This window comes from Homo sapiens, chromosome 14, assembly GCF_000001405.40.
Source record: "Homo sapiens chromosome 14, GRCh38.p14 Primary Assembly".
Classification (NCBI taxonomy): Eukaryota; Metazoa; Chordata; class Mammalia; order Primates; family Hominidae; genus Homo; species Homo sapiens.
The window spans coordinates 39076538-39099215 of NC_000014.9; the positions used below are offsets into that span (position 1 = coordinate 39076538).

Sequence of the window (22678 nt, forward strand, 5' to 3'; positions counted from 1 at the left end):
AATGAGAAGCACACGCCACTGCACCTGGCTCTTCTATTTTTTTGTTGGTGTTTTACTTTTGTTTTTGATGTTTAGAACACAAGTATCATAGAACAACAAAAAAAAAGGCCAGGCGTGGTGGCTCGCACTTGTAATCCCAGCACTTTGGGAGGCTGAGGCGGGTGGGTCACCTGAGGTCAGGAGTTCAAGACCAGCCTGGTCAACATGGTGAAATCCCATCTCTACTAAAAATACAAAAAATTAGCCGGGCAGGGTGGCAGACGCCTATAGTCCCACCTACTCGGGAGGCTGAGGCAGGAGAATCGCTTGAACGCGGGAGGTGGAGGTCGCAGTGAGCCAAGATCACGCCACTGCACTCCAGCCTGGGCAACAAGGCGAGACTCCGTCTCAAAAAAAAAAAAAATAGAGGCTGGACGCAGTGGCTGACGCCTGTAATCCCAGCACTTTGGGAGGCTGAGGTGGGTGGATCACCTGAGGGCAAGAGTTTGAAACCAGTCTGGCCAACATGGTTGAAACCCTGTCTCTACTAAAAATATAAAAATTAGCTGGGCATGGTGGCACATGCTTGTAGTCCCAGCTACTCAGGAAGCTGGGGCAGGAGAATTGCTTCGACCCAGGAGGTTGAGGTTGCAGTGAGCCAAGATTGTACCACTGCACCTTAGCCTGGGCAATGGAGCAAGACTCCATCTCAAAAAAAAAAAAAAAAAAAAAAAAAAAAGAAAGAGGCCCGGCACGGTGACTCACACCTGTAATCCCAGCACTTTCAGAGGCCGAAGCGGGTGGATCACAAGGTCAGGAGTTCAAGACCAGCCTGGCCAATATGGTGAAAACCCATCTCTACTAAAAATACAAAAAATTAGCCGGGCATGGTGGCGGGCGCCTGTAATTCCAGCTACTTGGGAGGCAGAGGCAGAGAATTGCTTGAACCCGGGAGGTGGAGGTTGCAGTGAGCCGAGATTGTGCCACTGCACTCCAGCCTGGGCAACACGGTAAGACTCTGTCAAAAAAAAGAAAGAAAGAGAAAGAGAGACAAAGATAGAGAGAGAGAGAGAGAAAAAAAAGTATGCATGACTTACACTTCCAGTCCAAGTTAATGGATTGAATACCCCAATCTACTTCCCCTTCCTCACAAGATGTCAATGAAATAAGAGAAAAGTTGTTTTAGGTGGATCACTTGAGGCCAGGAGTTCGAGACTAGCCTGGCCAACATGGCAAAACCCTGTCTCTACTTAAAAAAATACAAAAATTAGCCAGGTGTGGTAGTGCACACCTGTAATCCCAGCTTCTTGGGAGGCTGAGGCAAGAGAATTGCTTGAACCCAGGAGGTGGAGGTTGCAGTGAGCCAAGATCACACCACTGTACTCCAGCCAGGATGACAGAGTGAGACACTGTCTAAAATAAAATAAAGTAAAATTAAAAATAAATAAATAGGCCAGACACTGTGGCTCATGCCTCTAATCTCATCATTTTGGGGGTCCAAGGTGGGAGAATCACTTTAGCCCAGGAGTTCAAGATCAGCCTGGGCAACAAAGGGAGACCTTGTCTGAAAAAAATAAATAAATAACAAAATCAGTTGGGCATGATGGGACATGCTATAGTCCCAGCTTCTCAGGAGGCTGAGGTGGGAGGATTGGTTGAGCCCAGGAGTTCGATGCTGCAGTCAACCATGATCATGCCACTGCACTCCAGCCTAGGCAACAGAACTAGACTCTTGTCTCAAAAAAAAACAAAAAGTACATAAAATTTAAAGATAGGAAATAATGCAAGCAGTAGATCAGAAATTTTGAGGAATTCAAACAATAAATTGTACTGGATTATCAAAAGAATCAACGAAACACATCACAGATATCAAAAGTAAGCCCCAGATCTTCCCAAAGGAGGATGCCCAAAAAGCTCCATATTTGGAGTCAAAAAATACAAAAAGCAGCAATGAACCAAAGAAGAAACAGTGTGTATCTATACCTCCAGATACAGCAGCTGATGACAGATTCTGCCATCAGCAATTCCTAAGAACTACTCTCTGTAGAAAGCAGGCCATCTGCCTGGAGAAGGGTCTTTGCATGAAAATTAGAGGCTGAGAGATACAGAACCAAGCACATGTTACAATGGATATCACAACAAACATGACAACTCTCAAAAGTTTCTGGAAATAAAAGCATTAAGAAAATTTTTAAAACCTCAATGGATGGGCCAAAAAGCATGTCTGAAGGCTGAGCTAGAAATATGGGAAACAAAGCTGAGGAAATCTCATATAAATAGGAGCAAAGAAAGATATGAGGAAAAAAATAAATATATAAAGAGATATAGAGGTCCAGCATCAATGTAACAAATATAGAATAGAAAGAGAAATAAATTAAGCTGAAGAATGACAATATTTTTCAGAATTAAAGGGTCTACCAAAACCAAACGTAATTAAAGAAAGAAAAAATCAAACCTAAATACAGCCTAACAAAATTTCAGAACTCCAAAATTAAAGAGAATATTCTAAAAATGTCTAGTGAAAAAATAAGTTTCCTAAAAAAAGAACGAGACTACATCCAATTATCATCAATAAACTGTATGTCTATGTCAGAAAACTAGAGAGGAATGACTTGAATTTCCAAGTGAAGACTATTTTGAAACTAGAATTCTATAGCCACCCAAACTACCAATGAAATGAGAGGGCCATTTTTTTTTAATGTTTGAATATAGAAGAACTCAGAATACTTATAAGAAACAAAAGAGCAACTGCGTATGATCCAAAGGAAGTGACAGGATCTAGAAAAAAATGTAAAAGATATCCTATGACTTTTACATATGAAAGTATCCTTCTCTGTGTATAATCGCTCTACTTTATTCCACAATTAATATTTGTATTGTCATATTAGAAAGGCTATTTTATCTCTAATTTCTATAAGTGGTTATTGGACAAAATAGAGTACATTTTTCAACCTACACTACAGCTTCAGAACAGAATGTAAACGATATAAACTTCATGATAATTTTTAAAGTCATATGATTAGCCTGGCACAGTGGCTCACACCTGTAATCCCAGCACTTTGGGAGGATGAGGTGGGCGGATCACCTGAGGTCAGGAGTTCGAGACCAGCCTGGCTAAGCATGGTGAAACCCTGTCTCTACTAAAAATACAAAAAATTAGCCAGGCGGGGTGGCGGGTACCTATAATCCCAGCTACTTGGGAGGCTGAGGCAGGAGAATTGCTTAAACCCAGGAGGTGGAGGTTGCAGTGAGCTAAGATTGCACCACTGCACTCCAGCCTGGGCAACAAGAGCAAAAATCCATCTAAAAAATAAATAAATAAAATAAAATAAAATAAAATCATATGGTTAACAAATCTAGAGAACAAGGAAAGTTGTCTTCTACTTATTTGTATATACCATTGCATATTGTTTGAATGTTTTCACAAGGTATGATTATTACTTCTATAACTTTCTTAACTAATAACAAAAATACTCTCTTCATTCTGGGTATTTGAGATAATAGCAGTCATGTAAAGCTGAAAAAATGAAGAAAAGAGCAAATAAAACTATATACAGATACTTTCATAAAACTATGACACAAAGAACATCCAAACTTCAAATTTCCTACAACTGGAGGGAAAAAAAAGCCACTAAATCCCCGTGAACTGTATCTCTCATGCTCTCATTGCAATTCTCCAAAAAGATCAAGGGCAGTTTGGGAAGAAGTACACAGAAGAGAGAAGAGGGAAACAAACAGCAGGCCTAGAAGAACGACTACAGATTCAAATGAAAACTTGGTAAGAGGCACTAAAGAAAAGAAAAAAACCAAGAGAATGAAAATGAAATAAAGAAATAAAAAGATGGCTGAAATAAAAAGCAAGCAAAGAAGAGTCAATTTATATATAACGGCAGTTGTTTTTTTCTTTTGAGACAGAGTCTTGCTCTGTCGGCCAGGCTGGAGTGCAGTGACATGATCTCGGCTCACTGCAACCTCTGTCCACGGGTTCAAGCAATTCTCCTGCCTCAGCCTCCCAAGTAGCTGGGATTACAGGCGTGTGCCACCGCCCCCGGCTAATTTTTGTATTTTTAGTAGAGATGAGATTTCACCACGTTGGCCAGGCTGGTCTCGAACTCCTGACTTCAGGTAATCCGCCTGCCTCGGCCTCCCAAAGTGCTGGGATTACAGGCATGAGCCACTGCGCCTGGCCGGGAGTTCTTAAATAAAATAAAACAATGGAACAAAACTACTATTTAAAGCTATAAGACAACTTTATAGGAAAAAATACTATAAGACAACTTTATAGGAAAAAATACATATAAAGAGGGCCTACCACATACTAGAGAAAATTAACCTGCAACAAAAACCCTACAAGATAAAAAAAAAATTCCTCAAGACCTTGAAGCAAAATGATCAAATAATTTACAAGGGCAAGAAAATAAGGCTGGTATCAGCCTTCTCAAAAAACATCAGCCAAGGTGGTAGGATCACTTGAGACCAGGAGTTTGAGACCTGTCTGGGCAACATGGCAAGACTCTGTCTCTACAAATTTAAAAAGTAGCTGGGCATAGTGGCATGGGCCTATAGTCCCAGCTACTTGGGAGGAGTCTGAGGCTGGAGGACTGCTTGAGACCAGGAGTTTGAGGTTGCAGTGCTGCAGTAAGCTATGATCACGTACTGCACTCCAGCCTGAGCAACAGAGGCTCTGTTTAAAAAAAAAAAAAAACACACACACATCAAGGTAAGAAAATAATGAAAAAGCATTTTCCAAAACCTCCAGGAAAAAAAAATTAGAACCAAAGCTTTTTATATCCAACCAAGCTATTCTTCAACTATCAGAACCACAGGAAAAAAGTTTAAACATTCAACAGCCCAAGAAATTCTGTACTCTTAAGTCTTCTTAAGAAATTTACTAGAAGATACAAATAAAACTTACAGCAAAGAATAACATAATCACACTAAGGGCAGTGGAGGGGAATAACCCACTTAACTTTTGAACATTATATTTTGTACTATATATTCTCAGAACATTAAACAAATACTGGGCTCTAACTCCTAAGCTTCTTTCTAACAGAGGTATGAGCTAGAAACTCTGAAACTATTCTATATATTCTAGGACTGAGCAAATAAGTAAATATATTTGATAACGGGAGCAGGTTTCTCATAGAGAATGAGTTACAAATATGGAAAAGTGGGAAGGATAGAATAAACCCTGTGGTACTGAATTGAACATACCTGAAAGAAACATTGGTTTTTAATATAAAATTTTTTTTATTTTAATAGAGATATAGATGCATATTGGAGTATGCAGACATATATGCACACACATATACTTATGATTTTATATACATCTATAGATACATATATATGCACATACATCTTCTTCTTAGCTCCATCCGCTGGGACCTAGAATTAATGACACCCAGGGTAAGGGTGCACATGAAGCATTATCTTCTTGGTAGAACCAAGGCTAAAAGGAAACAGGGCTCCTAAGTGGTTTCATTTCAGGTCCAGAGCAGGAAAAGGATAAGATGAGCCCTGAACAACTTACTATACCAGAAAGGAAGTATTTAAGCAAACATGCGGCATTTAATAAGGACCCAGAAGCAGCTTGAAGAGGCTCCCACTAGCCAAATCGGGGAAAACTTAAGCATCAAAGTAAATTATGATAGTAAAGGAATGTATCTTGTTGTATAAAATAAGAATGTAAGAATACACCCAGTGTGTATTCTGTATGTATTTACATATATATATGTGTATATAAATTTATATATATATAAATACGTAAATGGGAGAGGAGAGAAAGCTCTTCCTCAAGTAGAAAGCCAATTAATAAAAGTAGAAATGATGGAATTAGAAAGCCACTATTTGGCATGCATCATAATAATAATTGATCAGAAAAGAATCATCAATGGATGCTAAACTAGTGGGTAAAAGTTTGCTGAGTACACTGGTTATTCACATATTTTCAAGGTATCTCCTAATAAGATATTTATAATTACAATAGGAAAACCTGTAACTTTACAGTGACAAAAACAACCTTAACCAAGTAAGGAAAGTTAACATCAGCAGTAATGAAATAAATCAACATGGGGGTTCCTAATATTTTGCAATGTTTATTAATTACAAAGGGGTAAAAAAAGAGTAATTTTAAAGTGGAGAGCCCTGGCAGATACTACCTTAATGAATGACCAAAGTGAATATCATCAGTAACAGAACAAATGAAAACCATGTGCCACCTGTAAAATGTAACAATAAGAACACAGCATTACTTCTGTGATATTCCTCCCAAAGATGCAAGACCTGAATCAAATTACGAGAATACTTCAAGACAAACTCAAATTGAAGAACATTTTACCAAATAACTGGTCTGAATCTTCCAAAGATCAGGAAAGATTGAGGAACTGTTCCAGGATGAAGGAGGGTAAATAGATATAGCCATAAATGCAGGACTGAACTAAATCCTTTCAGTAAAGGAAATTATTGGGACAACTGGTAAAACTTGAATGGGGTCTGAGAATTAGCTGGTAGTAATGTATCAGTGTTAACATTTTAATTTTAATAGTTTTATATTGTGGTTATATAGGAGATTATCCTGGTTCATAGGAAATACAAAGTTTCAAGGGGTTGGGACTATCATATCTGCAACTTAATCTTGTGAAAGGAAAGTAAGTCTTGGGACCCCAAAATCATTAAACTAAAGGGATAAGTCAAGCTGGAAACTGCTTCGGGCAAACCTGCCTCCCATTCTATTCAAAGTCATCCCTCTGCTCAGTAAGATAAACGCATATCTGATTGCTCCTTCGGAAAGGCTAATCAGAAACTCAAAAGAATGCACCTACCTGTGTCTCTCACCTACCTGTCTCTCACCTATCTGTGACCTGGAAGCCCCTCCCTACTTGAGCTGTCCCACCTATCTGGATGGAACCAACATACATCTTACATATGTTGATTGATGTCTCATGTCTCCCGAAAATTTATAAAACCAACTGTGCTCTGACCACCTTGGACGCATGTCATCAGGACCTCCAGAGGCATGTGTCCTCAGCCTTGGCAAAATAAACTTTCTTTTTTTTTTTTTTTTTGAGATGGAGTCTCGCTCTGTCACCCAGACTGGAGTGCAGTGGTGCAATCCCGGCTCACTGCAACCTCTGCCTCCCAGGTTCAGGTGATTCTCCTGCTTCAGCCTCCCAAGTAGCTGGGACTACAGGCGCCTGCCACCACACCTGGCTAATTTTTTTGTATTTTTAGTAGAGACAGGGTTTCACCACGTTGCTCAGGCTGGTCTCGAACTCCTGACCTCAAGAGATCCACCCACCTCGGCCTCCCACGATGCTGGGATTACAGGCGTGAGCCAACACGCCAAGCCCAAAATTAACTTTCTAAATTAATTGAGACTATCTCAGATATTTGGGGTTCACAATCTCAAATAGTTTGGAGAAAAAAATTATTTATACACTTCTTGCATCTTTTCTGTAAATTTGATAGCATTTCAAATTTTTTAAAAAACATTTTTAAAAACTATTTTGTTTTGTTTTGTTTTTGAGATGGAGTCTCTCTCTGTTGCCCAGGCTGGAGTGCAGTGGCATGATCTCGGCTCACTGCAACCTCCACCTTCCGGGTTCAAGCGATTCTCCTGCCTCAGCCTCCCGAGTAGCTGGGATTACAGGCATGCGCCACCACGCCCGGCTAGTTTTTTTTTTTGTATTTTTAGTAGAGACAGGGTTTCACCATGTTAGCTAGGATGGTCTCGATCTCCTGACCTCGTGATCCACCCACCTCGGCCTCCCAAAGTGCTGGGATTACAGGCGTGAACCACCGCACCCAGCCACTATTTTGTAATTCTAAAGCTAAGATATGTATAGCATAAAATTTTCAAATTCTACTAAAACTCCACTTATTGTATCACTGTTAACATCTGGGTGAACTTCTTTCCAGAATCATGTCTGTACAGGATATATACAAAACAATACACAAGACAATATGCTGGAGGAAAACACTTCACGTAGATAAAATCATACACCCACTGTCCTATAACCTGATTTTTTTTCACTCAATATTATCTTATACATACCATTTCCTATAATACTGTGAATATATTTTTTTCCTCTCCTTTCCTGACACACAGCTCCTAAAAGCCTTGGATTCTGTAGAATGATAAGAGTACCTTTTGTTTTTTGTTTTTGTTTTTTGAGACGGAGTCTCACTCTGTCACCCAGGCTGGAGTGCAGTGATGCGATCTCAGCTCCCTGCAACCTCCGCCTCTTGGGTTCAAGCAATTCTCCCTGCTTCAGCCTCCCAAGTAGCTGGGAGTACAGGCGCCCGCCACCACGCCTGGCTAATTTTTGTATTTTTGGCAGAGATGGGGTTTTGCCATATTGGCCGTGCTAGTCTCGAACTCCAGACCTCAGGTGATCTGCCCACCTCAGCCTCCCAAAGTGCTGGGATTACAGGCATGAGGTGCCCAGCCAAGAGTGCCTTTTGTATGTTAATAAAATGACTCCTAGATAGCTTCAAGATGGGGGCTGGTCACTGAAAAGACTAAAGCCTGATTAGAAGGTTGAGACTTTCAGTTCCACACCCCAACCTCCAGAAGGAGAGAGGGGATAATGGCCAGTGATGTAATCAATCATGCCTATGCAGTGAGCCTTCATGAAAAGCCAAAAGAACACAGTTTGGAGAGCTTCCAGACAAATGAATATGTGGAGGTTCCTGGAGGGTGGTGCCCCAGAGAAGCCACAGAAATTTGGAACCCCTTCTCCCACACCTCACTCTATGCATCTAGTCCATCTGACTGTTCATCTATAGTCTTCGTAATATCTTTATCATAAACCGAGAAACATAAAGTGTTTCCTAGAGTTCTGTGAGCCATTCTAGCAAATTAATCAAACCCAAGAGTGTCCAATTTACAGCCAGTCTATCAGAGAAGTATAGGTGACAACCTACTATGTGACTGGCACTTAAGTGGGGGCAGTCTTGTGGGACTGAGCCCTCAATCTGTGAGATGTGATGTTATCTCCAGTTAGATAGTATCAGAATTGAACTGAATTACAGGACACCCAGGTGGTATCGAAGGCAGAACTGCTTGGTTGGTATGTGGGGGAAAACCATAGAAGTATTCTTTGTTGATGCTGAGTGAGAGAATAGGGAGGAAAAAAAGCACTTTGGTTCTTCTTATCCTTATAATTATATATACACACACACACACACACACACACACACACACACACACACTTTACATTCCAAAACAAAACCATCTTCCCTACCTCCAGCAGTCCTACAGCTATGGAAAGTGCCACCCCAGAGGAACGCAAAGGTCTCTTTCCCTGTGGTACAGGCCAAGGGTCTCGCTGGAGTTCTCCCAGAAGATCTGTGAGATTCATGTCTATTTTCTGTACTGGTTGTAAGAATCTAAGAAACAGAATTAAATAAAAAGCCATTTGTAAATGTTTATGGGTGAGAGTTCGATAAACAAATTTCACTTTCCTAAAAATAGAAAACAACACTCTGAACACACAGCAGACCAATGGTTCTCAAACTTTCGTGTATATGAGAACCAGCTGGAGGGCTTGTTTTAACACATATTGCTAGGTCCCAGTTCTAGAGTTTGTTTCGGTAGGTCTGGAGTGGAGCCGAAGAATTTGCATTTCAAACGCATTCCTAGGTGACACGTGATGATAACAGCCCCAGAAACCACATTTTGAATACAACCACAATAAACGAAACACTCAAACCAAGTACTTCAGGATTTCATCTCTCACTAGTCTAGTAAGTTTTAGGTTACTGAAATAATTATGAGAAAATACATCAACTAAATTTTAGTAATACTACCTCTGATTAGAAAGCTTAGGGGAAAAAGCTAGCAGGGCGCGGTGGCTCACACCTGTAATCCCAGCACTTTGGGAGGCCGAGGAGGGAGGATCATAAAGTCAGGAGATTGGGATGGTGAAACCCCGTCTCTACAAAAAATACAAAAATTAGCCAGGCATGGTGGTGCATGCCTGTAATCCCAGCTACTTGGGAGGCTGAGGCAGGAGAATTGTTTGAACCTGGGAGGCGGAAGTTGTAGTGAGCCAAGATCATGCCACTGCACTCCAGAAACCTTAGCGGGAAAAGCTACCTCTAAAGCTAAGAAGAAAAAATAAAAACCTTGGCTGCCCTAAAACCACACAAAAACAAGTTTTTTCCAAAGTTCAAAATAAAAAATAAGGAAAATAACAAAACTAAAGTAACTCCTTACATTGTTAAGACAAAAAACAAACCATTTTAATGACATGATTTTGACTCAATTCTTTAAAAAGTATGTTAATACAATTTACTTATATTCCTAAAAATATTTAACAATATAGTATCACTGAATGCCTATGTTCAAGGGTATGGAATGTTTAAAATAGCTACAGAAACGGTCAAATTCTCTTCATCATATTTATTACCTGTTGGAAGGAGGTGGCTGCTGTACCTGAGGACCACGTGTTGCTTGAGTAAGTGGTACTTTAGAGAGCCCCAGCATTTCCTGTAAAGAGATTACTTGTGCAATATTCATTTAATTACTTTTACAAAGATTTATCAACTATTTATCATGTATAAAATGCTGTGCTAGACATTAGAAACACAAAAATAAAAAATACAAGGTCTCCTTCCTCAGAAAACAAAGAATCCAGTGGGAGAGATTATCAAGAAAACAATAACACAAAATAATCATCATGAGAGAGAAAAGCACAAGGTGTTATATAACCAAAGAGGAGGCATATTAGCTCAAAAACACTTTATTTCTAATTAACAGTCAAAATAAATTGTTGTGTAACTTAAATGTCCATACTTCTTAATTTATATTCATTCATCCGTTTCAGCAAACTATATCATAAGCACCTGCTATGTGGCAGGAATACAATGGTAAAAACTAACTAGTCCCTTCCCTCATGGAAATTAAAATCCAGAAACATAAATTAATCAAATCAACAGATAAATAAATGTAAAATTGCAACAGTAGTAAATGTTAGGACTTGGGGAGTTATAAGGCTCACGTACTTTGTACCTATATACATCTTGATTTTCTAATGTAATTCATAACCAAACTACGAACTGCCACCTTTGTTTTGAATTTCAGATATGTGCACAATTTCTCTCTAGACAAATGAAAATAATGTTATACTAAATTTTTCTTGAATCTAGAAATGCTTAGTCATGAAGTACTGGAGTTATAAAACTGTGTAACAGAAAACTGAAGTCTAAAGATGTACAAAGATAAAATTAGTGAACTAATCCTGCAATATTTCCTATACTGTTAGCAGAAACAGCAACTCTTTACTAAGAACTTAATATGTTCCATATTCTATGCTAAAACCTTTATATATACTATTTCCTCACAAAACAATAATGAAATAGATTTCTTCTTAAATTCTACTTTATAAATGAAAATTGACAATCAGAAAGACTAAGTAATTTGTCTGAGGTTACACAATCAGTAAGTAACAAAGCAAGATTTTAAATCCAGGTTTTTCTATAAAGCTCTATAAGGGTTTACACCATATTGAGAATTTCATATTTAGTACTAATAACCTGGCAAAATAGGTAGTTTATTCCTTTCTATGAAGGATGACACAATCAGCAAAGACAAAAACCCAGGATCATACAACCAGAAGAGTTTAAGATTTGAATCCAGGACTATCTGGGGAGCAAAGGCCAGGCTCTTTTCAACTAATAATAGGGAAAGAATAGGGAAATTTAATCTAAATAGGGAAAGAAAATAAACATGTTTCAATGGAGAAAAAAAATTCAGTCTGCAGGCATTCACTTGCCTATTGAAAAAAGGAAGATGTGGCCAGGCGCAGTGAATCACAGCTGTAATCCCAGTATTTTGGGAGGCCGAGGCGGGTGGATCACCTGAGGTCAGGAGTTCAAGACCAGCCTGGCCAACATGGTGAAACCCCATGTCTACTAAAAATACAAAAATTAGGGCCAGGTGCGGTGGATCATGCCTGTAATCCCAGCACTTTGGGAGGTCAAGGTGGGCAAATCACAAGGTCAGAAGTTCAAGACCAACCTTGGCTAACATGGTGAAGCACCAACTCTACTAAAAATACAAAAATTAGTAAGGCATGGTGGTATGCTCCTGTAATCCCAGCTACTTGGGAGGCTGAGGCAAGAGAAGCGCTTGAACCCAAGAGGCAGAGGTTGCAGTGAGCTGAGATCGTGCCACCGCACTCCAGCCCGGGTGACAGAGCGAGACTCTGTCTCAGACAAACAAAAAAAAACTAGGCCGGCCTCAGTGGCTCACACCTGTAATCCCAGCACTTTGGGAGGCTGAGGCAGGGGGATCACCTGAGCTCAGGAATTCAAGCAGCCTGGCTAACATGGTGAAACCTTGTCTCTACTAAAAAATACAAAAATTGGCCAGGCGCGGTGGCTCACGCCTGTAATCCCAGCACTTTGGGAGGCCAAAGCAGGCAGATCACGAGGTCAGGAGATCAAGACCATCCTGGCCAACATGGTGAAACCCGGTCTCTACTAAAAATACAGAAAAAAAAAATTAGCCGGGTGTGGTGGCATGCGCCTGTAGTCCCAGCTACTCGGGAGGCTGAGGCAGGAGAATCGCTCGAACTAAGGAGGCGGAGATTGCAAGATCATGCCACTGCACTCCAGCCTGGGTGACAGAGCAAGACTCCGTGTCAAAAAAAAAAAAAAAAAGAAAAAAAAAGGAAGATGTTTTATGTGCTTCATATGCATTATATAAGTAAAAGGTACTCTACAATCAGAACAGTAAACTATTCTAAATAAATTCATAATTTAATAATAACATTAATAGTAGCAAATGCTTAAATGTACAATTCATTTAATTCTCATGACTACACTATAAGGTATATACTATTACTATCTCTATTTTACAATTGAAAAAAACTAAAGCACAGAGATTTCAACTGGTTCACTTTCTCTCCTGTCTCATGGAAACATGATTCTCCTCTCTAAGGTACTCCGCTTCCTGTGCTCCTGAAGGAATCCCTACTATGTCTTCCTAAACCTGACTTTCCTCATCTCACTCTTGCTTTAACTCACCCTCTTTAGTCTCTTTCCTTTCTCCTTCCTCCTAAAGTACATCTCTTTAACTCAGTTCTCTCTCAAATTCCCATGCTATCTCCTCCTTCATTACCTTCAACAAACCTCTTAAAAGAACAAACTTCAGGCCGAGCACGGTGGCTCACTCCTGTAGTCCCAGCACTCTGGGAGGCCGAGGAAGGTGGATATCCTGAGGTCAGGAGTTCAAGACCAGCCTGGCCAACATAGTGAAACCACGTCTCTACAAAAATACCAAAATTAGCTGGGCATGATGGCGGGTGCCAGTAGTCCCAGCTACTCGAGAGGCTGAGGCAGGAGAATAGCTTGAACCCGGGAGGCGGAGGTTGCAGTGAGCCAAGATTGTGCCAATGCAGTCCAGCCTGGGTGACAGAGCGAGACTCTTGTCTCAGAAGAAAAAGAACAAATTTCAACTTTCTCTACCTTCTCAAATCTTATTCACTATTCATTGACTAACGCATTCATTACTCATTATCCTCCCCATTTAAACCTGCAAATTCCCCTAGTATGTTCTCTTAGTTAACTGCAGCACCACTACCTCAGTCTGCCAAGTTTCAAATTAGACTCACCCTCAAAAATCTCTTCCTTTCTTCTTCATTTTGGTCTACCTGGAAGCCTCTAAAGTCTGATTTTACATCTGTCAACTTTATGCCAGGCTTATCTATCATCTTCTAGGGTAAATGTTCTCAACTAGGAGTTGCACCAGAATTACTTAGAAAGTTTTTTCAAAGTACCTACATGAACAATCTTATATTATATATATAAGGTATATATACCAACTATCCCCCAATACAAACAGACATTCACTTATTACTCTCTTATGGACTATCAAAATCTCTGGGCAGAAAAAAAGATGTTCATCTGAGCAGATGATCCTAGTATGCTACACATAACTCCTTTGCCTTGGAAGAGAAAGCTTCAATTTGTCCCAGTGATAAAAACCACTAAAAAACATATGTAACCATAGTTCCTACACTAAAAATCGTCCAGTCTCAAAATAACTTCCCTCACCAAACATACTAAAAGTATTTAGTTCTTAAGTGAAATGTTAAGAAATAAAAGCTCTCTCCTCAGCTGCCACCAAGGTTCTCGGTTCTTATGAGGAAGCCAAGACCACACTGGGGTGAGACCCTCACTTCATCAGGTGACTAGCACCATGTCAGGCAGCACCAGCCCTGCACTCGCCCACATCATGGCCTCCATCTCAAGTTCTTCTGTATCTCCTTGGACCTCATTCTGCACGACAATGAGGTGACCATCACAGTGGATTAGATCAATGCCCTTGTTAAAGCAGCTGATATAAATGTTGAACCTTTCTGGCCTGATTTGTTTGCAAAGGACTGGCCAATGTCAACATCAGGAGCTTCATCTGCAATGTAGGGGCTGGTGGACCTGCTCCAACAGTTGGTGCTGCACCTGCAGAAGGTCCTGCCCCCACCACCACTGCTGCCCCAGCTGAGGAAAAGAAAGTGGAAACAAAGAAAGAAGAACCTGAGGAGTATGATGATGACATGGACTTTGGTCTTTTTGACTAAACCTCTTTTATAACATGTTCAATAAAAAAGCTGAACTCTTAAGAAAAAAAAAAGAAACAAGCTAATATTCTGCAGTTGCTCTCTCTTAGCCTTCAGCATGACTCTTCATAAGCCCTTCAAATCTCTAGTAAAATACTGTTGGTTTGACTTTAAATTTTAAAGATATAGTTAAAAGTGAAGGGTGTTTAATCTGTATAACAATTTAAGGCACATGAAAAGAAAACTGAAGCCAGCACTGAATTTAAAGCCTTTGTTATAATACAATTATATTAGTTATTCATAATAAAAATTTGTCCTAGAAACATACAGAAGGCATTTATAAACATATATAGAGTAATTTTCAGATAGGTAAAAACTACCATTCTTGTTGTTTACCTGCAGTTGTTTGGCAGACAAATCTTTTGTTCCTCTGAAGACATAGCTTTTTGAAATGCCTTCACATCCAAGTTCATGAACCTGAACCATTCTCCCAAAAGTAATAAGTCCAACCAAAGCTGTAGGTGGTAAAAGACTTAATGACATCTGCATGGATTCTTTCAGGGCTTGTAAATCTTCATCTTCCATGCAAGTATCAACCACATAGAGGAATATCAAAGGCATCTGAGGACCACGCTTTTAAAAAATTCACCAAAAAGAAAAAATATGTAGTTTAAAGCACAGCATACAAGACAGTCAACAGGGAACTAATTAAATAACGAATACAAAAGAATCCTAGTAAAGCCATTTCAGAAATGAAACAGGTTATTTCTACTGTCATGGAGAGAGATCTAAGACATATCATCAGGTGAAAAATTAAGTTTAAGAACATGAGGTATAGTTACACAGAGGGGACTTTCACTTTCCATTTTATTTAACTACATGCATAAGGTTTCATTTGACTCTTTTAAAATAATTAGTAAACCTGACTTGGATTTTCAGATAACTAGAAACTAGCCAGGCTGGACAAATTACTGAATGGTCCAAGTGAACCATAATTGTTTTCTCTAAAACATTCATAAAAGATATTACTTCCACAGTAAAACATGTAAACAACTATGGTTAAGTATTCAGAAAGAGAATAAAAATGATTTTCCTAAAGACCAATGCAAGATTATTTTCATTAATTAGACCTGGGGGATACATTAGCCAACTCCAGCATCATATTGACTAAATATTTGTTAACTGACCTTCCAACTACAAAGCAAGATTTATACTTTATTGTTTACTGATCTACTCAGTATAGCAAATCACACCACCCTACCCAGTATCTTGGCCACCCATCAAATAAGTACAACATAGGAATTACCCTGCTCAAACTGACCTCAACAGTTCTTACCTTTGAAATGTTCCATCAAATCAATGTGAGAATTAAGCATGATTCCTTCTAAATCATCATAATTTAACAATTCTTTCAGTATAAATTTTAAAACTTTCTTAAATATTTGTTCTTAGGTTCTTACCAGAACTACATATTCAATGCTAGAAAACTGAGGTAAAAGTTCAGCAGGCTGATTCAGTTCAGATATACCAGCATAACTAGGTGGAAACTACAAATAGAAAACAAACAAAAATTTTTAACAAATTATAGGCTAGAAAGATTAATAAAATTTTAAACAAAGTATTTCCTGATCATTTAATTATTTTTAAAAAGGCATTTTCATTAAATGAGAAATAATTATTTGTATCTTTTTTTAAATATGCATTTTTCTACATGACTAGTATTTTGGCATTAACATCTGCAATGGATGTTTTATGGGTTTTTTTTCATTTGTTTGTTTGTTTGTTTTGTTTGTTTGTTTTTGAGACGGAGTCTTGCTCTGTTGCCCAGGCTGGAGTAGAGTGGTGCAATCTCGGCTCACTGCAAGCTCCACCTCCCGGGTTCATGCCATTCTCCTGCCTCAGCCTCACGAGTAGCTGGGACTACAGGCGCCTGCCACCACGCCCAGCTAATTTTTTTTTTGTATTTTTAGTAGAGACGGGGTTTCACTGTGTTAGCCAGGATGGTCTCAATCTCCTGACCTCGTGATCCACCCGCCTCGGCCTCCCAAAGTGCTGGGATTACAGGCATGAGCCACTGCGCCCGGCATGCAATGGATGTTTTCTTACCTGATTCCTTTGGTAACAAAAGTTGCAAGCCCAAAGTTTTGCTCGATAATCCACTTGACTGTTTTAAAAAAAAAGAAAAGACATATCAGTTCATATTTCAGTTCAATTTTACAAAAATCCTAATTTCAATAAAATTAATTTCTTCCTAAAACATGAACATATTCAAATTGATAGTCAAAGTAACTTTTAAAAGCCATGTAGTTTTAGATACTGCCAATATCTAATTCACACTTTTAACATATACAAGTTTACCTAAATGGTGAATATAACTTTTAACATATAGTAAATATTGGCTGGGTGCAGTAGGTCACGCCTGTAATCTCAGCACTTTGGGAGGCCTGAGGCGGCAGATGGCTTGAGTCCAGGAGTTCAAGACCAGCTTGGGCAATATGGTGAAACCCAGTCTTCACAAAAAATACAAAGAATCATCCAGGCGTGGTGGCACATGCCTGCACTCCCAGTTACTTAGGAGGCTTAGGTGAGAGGATCATCTGAGCCCAGGTGGTCAAAGATACAGTGAGCCACAATCACAACACTGCCCTCCAATCTAAGTGACAGAGTGAAACCATCTCAAAAATATATATATGCACACATATATACAGCAAATATCAATAAAATTAAAATAATCCTATTTTTTTCTTCAAGTGACTTCAGTAACATCTACACTCAGACCTAGAAAACATTTATTCAGGTCAAAAATATATTTACTGAATGCCTAATAAGTACCAACCACTATTTTAGGCGCTGGTGATACAAGAAAAAGAGAACTGCTCTCATGGAGTTTACATTCTAGAAAAAACAGACAAAAGACAAGCAGATGCACAAACAAGAAAATACTTTTGGTGTTTTTTTTGAGACAGGGTCTCGTTCTATTGCCCATGCTGCAGTGCAATGGTAGAATCATAGCTCCCTGCAGCATTGAACTCCTGGCTCAAGTGTTTCTCCCATCTTCAGCCTCCCAAGTAGCTAGGACTACAGACACATACCACCACACCCAGCATATACATATACATATATATATATGCATATATACACATACATATATATATATGCATATATACACATATACATATATATGCATATATACACATATACACATATATATGCATATATACACATATACATATATATGCATATATACACATATACACATATATATGCATATATACACATATACATATATATATACACACACACACACACACACACACATATATATATATATATATATATATATATATATATATATATATATATTTTTTTTTTTTTTTTTTCCCCTCCTGTAGAAATGGAGTCTTGCTTTGCTGCCCAGGCAATCCTCCCACCTTGGCCTCCCAAAGCACTGGGATTACAGGCGTGAGCTACTGCACCCAGCCAAAAATACTTTTACATTGTAATAACAGAGATTAAAGAAAACAAAGCAGAATGTGAGAATGTGTTTAAGAGGGCTGCTTTAAAAAACAGCCTTCTTAAATAGACAACTAAAGTATGATCAGAATGAAAAGGAAGCAATCATACGAAAATATGGAGACAGAAGAATCCGGGCAGAATGCACAGCTACTATACCATTGTCAAGGTAGGAGTAAGTTTGGTATGTTCAAGAATCAGAAAGAGGGTAACAGGGTTAAGGTATTATGTAGATGAGAATAAGGAAAATGGATAACACAAGATGAAGGCAGAAATATATACAGAGGCTAGATCATACAAGGCTTTATAGATCTTGATAAGGAGTTTGTATTTCTCATTCCAAGAATAAGAAGCTACTACTGGAAGATGTTCATCATCTGATTTTCATTCATAAAACTCTAGCTTCTGGGTAGAGAACAGACTGCTGAAAGACAAGAATAGAAACAGGGAGAGCAGGTAGGAGGATATTGAAATTGCCCAGGAAAAAGACTGTGGTATCTTGAAGCAGGGTATACTACCAGAGATGGAATAAGAGGCTGTAAGAGACAGAATCTATAATGTTCTAGAGGTAGATCACCCAGATTTGCTAGTGGATTGGCTGGGGGGAGAGGGAATGGAAAGAGAAGTAAGAGATGATTCCTGAGATTTTGGCTTCAGCAACAGAAATCACAACATTTTTGGAACATCATGTCACTCAATCACAACTTTTTTTTTTTTTTTGAGGCGGAGTCTCGCTCTGTCACCCAGAGTTGGAGTACAGAGGCACGATCTCAGCTCACTGCAACCTCCATCTCTCAGGTTCAAGCAATTCTCCTGTCTCAGCCTCCCGAGTAGCTGGGACTACAGGCACATGCCACCACACCCCAGCTAAGTTTTGTATTTTTAGTAGAGACGGGGTTCCACCATGTTCGTCAGGCTGGTCTCGAACTCCTGACTTCAGGTGATCCACCACCTCGGCCTCCCAAAGTGCTGGGATTACAGGCATGAGCCACCACGCCCGGCCAATTATGACTTATCTAATGATGCAAGATGGGTTGATACACATCCAGCACCACTATTCAGAAGACACTGATGGAATCTAACAGTTTTTATAGTGCCACTTTTACATTTGGTCTCTTTATATTACCAACTCAGTACAACTAGAATGATCCTAAAATTTTACAGCTCTCTGGATTGTTTTGACTGTCCTAATTTGAAAAAATTAGTATGAACAAAAACAAAGGGATTTTTATAAAAATATGCAGAAAAACCCCGACATTTTAAAATCACATTGCCACATTAGTTTTTCTATATATTTTACTTACCATAAAGGATTCAAAACTGCACGGCAAGTGGTCCTACTACACAGAACAGGTTCATATTGAATAGGTGGTAAGTCAGGTCTCTCTTTCAGTGGTGTAAACAGGGCTGCCACAGGAACAACCATTCTTGTAGCTTCCAGTCGACTTGATGGCCAAACATTCCAACTAAATCGGACTCCATCTCGTTCTTCATTTTGTTGAATGAATTCCAAATAGGTTGTCATTGTGGAGTTTGATTCTTATTTCTGTATCAAAATTTTAAAATATTTTAAAATCCAGGATCCTCTTAAGAACGTTCAAAATATGAATGTTCTCCCCTCATTCAGCAATATTAACACCTTAGAAATCAGGACCAGCTGGGCCCCGTGGCTCACGCCGGTAATCCCAGCACTTTGGGAGGCCGAGACAGGCGGATCACCTGAGGTCGGGAGTTCGAGACCAGCCTGACCAACACGAAGAAACCCCGTCTCTACTAAAAATACAAAATTAGCCAGGCATGGTGGCGTATGCCTGTAATCCCAGCTACTCAGGAGGCTGAGGCAGGAGAATCTCTTGAACCCTGGAGGCAAAGTTTGTGGTGAGCCGAGATCATTCCGTTGCACTCCAGCCTGGGCAACAAGAGCAAAACTCCATCTCAAAAAAAAAAAAAATCAGGACCAAATGAAAATATTTATCTCAGAAAAAAATTAGCAAGCAACTCATAACAAAATAATTAATGGCTCTACCCAATGTTCACAAGGCCCAATAAGAGGTATTTAACACTTTTTTATTCACTCTAAAAGATGATGGCAAAAAATAGTGTCTTATTTCTTTAAGGATATATAGGAAAGAAATGCAAAAATAGGGGGAAAACCTAGATCCTATGTTTTCCATATCAGTTTTGAAAATTATAAGAATTCATATAAACAGATTTCAAAATTATAAAGTTCTAAAACTCACATGGTTTCTATCTGAAAAATAACAAGTTTCCACTAAACTTTACAGAAGAGAATGTTTAATGGTATGTAACAAAAAGATTTTCCTAAAACTGGACACTTCTGCTTTGGACAGGTAATTTTCTTATTGTGCAAGTACAGGCTATTTGTGGCACAATAAATAAAATGCTTGATAAGTGCTGTTCCCCCAATTTATATATCATTTAGACTCTTTTGCAGAAACTTACTTCAGAATATTTTGAACATTCCAAATTATGAGAGCATTTTAAACTCCAATTTGAGATATAAAATTTCAGTATAATAATTTAAGTTTACTAACCAAGGGAAGAGGATGCACTCTGGGGAGGGACCAGTATCAAAAGACAGCTCCATTTTTACTGTCTAAATGCCTAGGTAGGATGCCGGCTTTCCTACGTAGGCAACAGCTCTATCTCATGCTCTCAAACTGCAACAGTAGTTAGTCATGGAAGGAAGCTGAAGAATTTAAAGGTGTGGGAGGACAAAGACATTCAAGTGTTATGCAGCAGACAGGAAGGACGTCAAGTTGAAAGAAGTGAACTGTGAACCTAGGGTGCCTGGAAAACCCAACATGGATGTTTAAAGTTGCTAAGAGCAATAGTGGGACAAGAAGCTGATTCTAAAATTTAAGTGAAGAAAGAAGAGATATTATTTGGGGGGAAAAAGTTAGATATAACAATTTTAATTTTAGAAAATCTTTCAAATAAATTTTCATAAAACAAATGGCAGAAAGTGAAGCTTAACAAATCTAAGCATTCCAAGCAGTTAAGAACTTTCTCTTCTTTAAATAAGAAAATAAAAATTAAAGAAAACACTGTATTTCCTCCAATTGTGCCAGAATCTTGGAGACAGCTAGAAAATCTTACGCTAATCAAAAAAGATTGTGGTTTTTCAAAGGTGCATAAAGGGTAAAGAGAAATCCCAAGACTAAACTTGTTTAGAAAAGACTATTTTGGGCCGGGTGCAGTGGCTCAAGCCTGTAATCCCAGCACTTTGGGAGGCTGAGGCAGGTGGATCACCTGAGATCAGGAGTTCAAGACCAGCCTGGTCAACATGGCAAAACCCCGTCTCTACTAAAAACACACAAAAAAATTAGCTGGGCAGGGTGGCATGCACCTGTAATCCCAGCTACTCAGGAGGCTGAGGCAGGAGAATCGCTTGAACTGGGGGGGCAGAGGTTGTGGTGAGCTGAGATTGCACCACTGCACTCCAGCCTGGGCGACAGAACAAGACTCCATCTCAAAAAAAAAAACAAAACTATTTTGAAGGTAAATATAGAAGGCAGCTTTGAGAAGGGTGGTATGAGCTTTCAAGGAAAAGTGTTGAAAGATAATGATAAAACAAAGGTGTGGGATATTCAGAGGAGAGTTAGAAGATGTCAAACTCCACCGTAACATAGGTGGCAATAAAGAAAAAACAACCAGGACGTGGGGGTGAGGGGGAGATTAGAAATCCAGTTTTTAGCAACAGCTTCCATGTTACTGATGTGAATATAAATTCTAAGACTATGCAAACCTCTTCCACATTTATTATACAGAACATAAGGCAAATAAAATTGTGTTTACTACTTAATTGCTCCTATAATTTAAGAAGCATGTACACGCCTACTATGTACCCACAAAAATTAAAAATAAAAAAAATTTTAAGGCCAGGCACAGTGGCTCACGCCTGTAATCCTAGCACTTTGGGAGGCTGAGGCCAGCGGATCGCTTGAGGTAGGAGTTCAAGACCAGCCTGGCCAACATGGTGAAACCCCATCTCTACCAAAAATACAAAAATTAGCTGAGCTGGTGGTGAGTGCCTGTAATCCCAGCTACTCAGGAGGCTAAGGCAGGAGAATCACTTGAACCCGGGAGGTGGAGGTTGCAGTGAGCCGAGATCATGCCACTGCACTCTAGCCTGGGCGACAGAGTGAGACTCCTTCTCAAAAAAAAAAAAAATTTAATAAAATAAAATGAAATCAGAACAGGGATGACTACATTTGACAAAAAATAAGTCATAAGAAATCCAGTGTTATTAAGAAAAAATAAAAATTCTAATGTGCCATAACAAAAAAAAAAAATAAAATGCATCTAAAACACATCTGCAAAAGGCATTAAAATAGCTGAAACACAAAACAAAAAATGTTTTCAATGACTGTTTTCTCAATTCTCCCAAGGATAGTACATAACTAGTACTTAGGTATTACACAGATATTTTCTCAAAAATGTATGAAGTAAACCTATCACTTCATAGAAAACAACTTATAGTATTTTTTGCCAATGATAAAAATTTGAGCTTTCAAGCAAACATTAAATTGTTTTTGGGTTTTTTTTTTTTTTTTTTTTTTTGACACGGAGTCTCACTCTGTCACCAGGCTGGAGTGCAG

General features: G+C 39.0%; 1 protein-coding gene across 4 annotated transcripts in view; it reads right to left on the minus strand.

Moving 5' to 3' along the window:
* SEC23A (SEC23 homolog A, COPII component) overlaps positions 1-22678 on the minus strand; it is a 71317-nt gene that overhangs the window by 44619 nt on the left and 4020 nt on the right. For all 4 annotated transcript variants that reach the window (NM_006364.4, XM_005267262.2, XM_011536355.4 and 1 more), the window contains exons 2-7: positions 19361-19602; positions 16650-16707; positions 16004-16090; positions 14940-15176; positions 10392-10471; positions 9225-9369 (exon numbers count right to left, since the gene is read on the minus strand). In NM_006364.4, coding sequence (NP_006355.2) covers positions 9225-9369; positions 10392-10471; positions 14940-15176; positions 16004-16090; positions 16650-16707; positions 19361-19581 — 828 coding nt within the window. In that variant the 5' untranslated portion in view covers positions 19582-19602. The remainder of the gene's footprint in view (positions 1-9224; positions 9370-10391; positions 10472-14939; positions 15177-16003; positions 16091-16649; positions 16708-19360; positions 19603-22678) is intronic.